Genomic DNA, 4,782 nt, shown 5'->3' on the forward strand with positions numbered 1-4,782 from the left:
AAAAAAAGATTGGTATATATGCAAAGGATTATAAATCATTATACTATAAAGACACGTACACACAGATGTTTTATTTGCAGCACTGTCTACAATAGCAAAGACTTGGAACCAACCCAAATGCCCGTCAATGAACACTGGATAAAGAAAATGTGGCACATACACACCATGGAATACTATATGCATCCATAAAAAAAGCATGCGTTCATGTTCTTTGCAGGGACATGGATGAAGCTGGAAGCTATCATTCTCAGCAAACTAACACAGGAACAGAAAATCAAACACTGCATGTTCTCACTCATAAGTGGGAGTTGAACAAAGAGAACACATGGACACAGGTAGGGGAACATCACACACTGGGGCCTGTTGGGGATGTGGGGCTACGGGAGGGAGAGCATTAGGACAAATACCTAATTCGAGTGGTGCTTAAAACCTAGATGATGGGTTGATAGGTGCAGTAATTCACCATGGCACATGTATGTCTATGTAAAAAACCTGCACATTTTGCACATGTATCCCAGAACTTAAAGTAAAATAAAAAATAATTGTGAAAAAAGAAGTATATTTCCACTGAATCACCTAACATTTACTCTACCTAAGCCACTGTGCTGCACTGTGCAAAAACAACTCAGATGAATCTGATATTTTTTACATGCCAAGCATTTAAATTCTAGTAAAAATAAAAACAAACACACAGACACAAGACAAAATAAGAAAAAAAAAAACATCATTAGGGCATTTAGTCAAAAAACAAAGTGACTCACATATAAAAGAAAATCATATTAGTGCTATGGTTTATAATAGCAATACTTTATGTCAGAAAATACTGAAGTAACATTTTTAAGAGACTCAGAAAAATGTACATTATGAATTTTTTATATAACTTAATCTTCAAGTATAAAGATAGTAAACAACTTACTATTAACATGAAAAATATATTTTTTTCTATGAACACCTCTTGAGGAATGTACTACAGAATGAACCTGACACTTAAATATCTGAGAAGGCATCAGCTTAGTGACGGTTGGTGAACAATATATACATATAGTTATATATATAATATATATTTACAATATATATTTTCCTTTCATTTATTTTGACTTTATTGGATAACAATTAAAGGACACTAAGCTGAAAATACTTTATTTTTAAAATCTAACTTCAGGGGTACATGTGCAGGTCTGTTATATGGCTAAACTTGTATTATGGGGTTTGTTGTACAGATTATTTCATCACTTAGATATTTAGCCTAGTACCCATTAATTATCTTTCCTAATCCTTTCCCACCTCCTACCCTCCACCCTCTAATAGTCCCCAGTGTGTTTTGTTACCCTCTATGTGTCCATGTGTTCTCATAATTTAGCTTCCACCTATAAGTGAGAACATGTAGTATTTGGTTTTCTGTTCCTGTGTTTGTTTAATAAGGATAACACCATTTATGTTTATTTCATGCCTTTGTTATTGGGAATAGCAATGAACATATACGTGCATGTATCTATCATAGAATGATTTAGATTCCTAACAATAGATTATTGTTAAATATATATATATGTGTATATATATATATGTGTATATATATATGTGTATATATATATGTGTATATATATATGTGTATATATATATATGTGTATATATATATGTGTATATATATATGTGTATATATATATGTGTATATATATATATGTGTATATATATATGTGTATATATATGTGTGTGTATATATATATATGTGTATATATATATATATATGCTACTAATGTTTGTATGTTAATTAACTTTACTGAATTTGTTTATTAGTAATAAGAGGTTTTTGATGGCATCTTTAGGGCTTTATAAAGTAAGACCATGTTGTCTTTACAAAAAGATAATTTGATTTGTTTCCAGTATAAATGCCCTGTTTATTTTTTTCTCTTGTCTTACTTTTCTGACCAGGAATTCCAATATACATTAAGTAAAAGTGGAAAAAGCAGATATTCTTGACTTGTTTCTACTCTTAGAGAAAAAGTTTTCAGTTATTCCTCAGTAAACATTACTTTAGCTGTCACTTTGTCATATATGGCCTTTATCATTTTAAGGTATGATTCTCATATTCTCAGTTTGTTGAAGATTTTATATCATAAGGGGATGGTGAATTTTTTCAAATGCATTTTTAGCATTTATTAGAATTATTATGTTTTTGGTTTGGTTCTCTTATTGTGTGGCATTTATTGATTTGCATATGTTGAACCATCCTTACATTATTGGGATGAATACCACCTGATCATAGTGAATCATTCTTTTAATGTGGTGTTTAACTTGGTTTGATAGTATTTTAATTAGGATATTTACATCTATATTCATCAGTGATAGATATTGACCTGTACTTTTGTTTTATTTGTTGTTGCTGTATCTATGCCTAGTTTTGGTATCGGGATAATGGTGGCCTGAGAAAAAGTTTGAAAGTATTCAAACTTCAATTTTTTGGAAAAGTTTCAGTAGAATTGGTGTTAATTCCTCTTTAAACATTTTGTAGAATTCAGCAGTAAAGCAATTATGCCCTGGTATTTCCTTTGATGGGAGCCTTATAATTACAACTTTGATATTGTTACTTATTATTGGTTTGTTGAGGTTTTCTATTTCTTCATGATGTAATTTTGGTAGATTGTATGTATCCAGGAGTTTATGTATTTCTTCTAGTTTTCTAATTTGTTGGTGTGTAGTTTTTAATAATAGTCTGTGATAATCTTCATGTATTTTGTGGTCTCTATTTTATGTCTCCTTTTTTATTTCTGATTTTATTTATATGGATCTTCTCTCTTTTTCTCTTAGCCCAGTTAAGGTTTGGTCAATTTTATGTTTTTAAGAAACAAACTCTTCATTTTGTCAACGTTTTATACTTTTTCCCTCAATTTTATTTATTTATGCCCAATATTTATTATTATTTTCTTTCTATTAATTGTAGGTTTGTTCTTACTCTGCTTGTTTCTTGAGGTGCATCATTAAGTTGTTTATTTGAAGTATTTCTACATTTTTGGTGTTGGTGTTTATTACTCTGTACTTTTCTCTTAGTACTGTTTTTGTTGTACCCCGTAGATGTCTGTATGTTTTAGTTGCATTTTTATTTGTTTCAATGAATTTTTAATTTTTTTTCTTTTTTTATTATTATTATACTTTAAGTTTTAGGGTACATGTGCACAATGTGCAAGTTAGTTACATATGTATACATCTGCCATGCTGGTGCACTGCACCCACTAGCTCGTCATTTAGCATTAGGTATATTTTCCAATGCTATCCCTCCCCCCTCCTCCCACCCCACAACAGTCCCAGAGTGTGATATTCCTCTTCCTGTGTCCATGTGTTCTCATTGTGCAATTCCCACCTATGAGTGAGAATATGCGGTGTTTGTTTTTTTCTTCTTGTGATAGTTTACTGAGAATGATGATTTCCAATTTCATCCATGTCCCCACAAAGGACATGAACTCATCATTTTTTAGGGCTGCAGTATTCCATGGTGTATATGTGCCACATTTTCTTAATCCAGTCTATCATTGTTGGACATTTGGGTTGCTTCCAAGTCTTTGCTATTGTGAATAATGCCACAATAAATGTAAGTGTGCACGTGTCTTTATAGCAGCATGATTTATAGTCCTTTGGGTATATACCCAGTAATGGGACGGCTGGGTTAGATGGTATTTCTAGTTCTAGATCCCTGAGGAATCGCCACACTGACTTCCACAATGGTTGAACTAGCTTACAGTACCACCAACAGTGAAAAAGTGTTCCTATTTCTCCGCATCCTCTCCAACACCTGTTGTTTCCTGACTGTTTAATGATTGCCATTCTAAGTGGTGTGAGATGGTATCTCATTGTGGTTTTGATTTGCATTTCTCTGATGGCCAGTGATGGTGAGCATTTTTTCATGTGTCTGTTGGCTGCATAAGTGTCTTCCTTTGAGGAGCGTCTGTTCATGTCCTTTGCCCACTTTTTGATGGGGTTGTTTGTTTTTTTCTTGTAAATTTGTTTGAGTTCATTGTAGATTCTGGATATTAGCCCTTTGTCAGATGAGTAAATTGCAAAAATTTTCTCCCATTTTGTAGGATGCCTGTTCACTCTGATGGTAGTTTCTTTTGCTGTGCAGAAGCTCTTTAGTTTAATTAGATCCCATTTGTCAATTTTGACTTTTGTTGCCATTGCTTTTGGTGTTGTAGACATGAAGTCCTTGCCCATGCCTATGTCCTGAATGGTAATGCCTAGGTTTTCTTCTAGGGTTTTTATGGTTTTAGGTCTAACGTTTAAGTCTTTAATCCATCTTGAATTGATTTTGGTATAAGGTGTAAGGAAGGGATCCAGTTTCAGCTTTCTACATATGGCTAGCCAGTTTTCCCAGCACCATTTATTAAATAGGGAATCCTTTCCCCATTGCTTGTTTTTGTCAGGTTTGTCAAAGATCAGATAGTTGTAGATATGCAGCGTCATTTCTGAGGGCTCTGTTCTGTTTCATTGATCTATATCTCTGTTTTGGTACCAGTACCATGCTGTTTTGGTTACTATAGCCTTGTAGTATAGTTTGAAGTCAGGTAGCATGATGCCTCCAGCTTTGTTCTTTTGGCTTAGGATTGACTTGGCAATGTGGGCTCTTTTTTGGTTCCATATGAACTTGAAAGTAGTTTTCTCCAATTCTGTGAAGAAAGTCATTGGTAGCTTGATGGGGATGGCATTGAATCTGTAAATTACCTTGGGCAGTATGGCCATTTTCACGTTATTGATTCTTCCTACCCACGAGCATGGAATGTTCTTCCATTTGTT

This window comes from Homo sapiens, chromosome X (assembly GCF_000001405.40).
Source record: "Homo sapiens chromosome X, GRCh38.p14 Primary Assembly".
Lineage (NCBI taxonomy): Eukaryota > Metazoa > Chordata > Mammalia > Primates > Hominidae > Homo > Homo sapiens.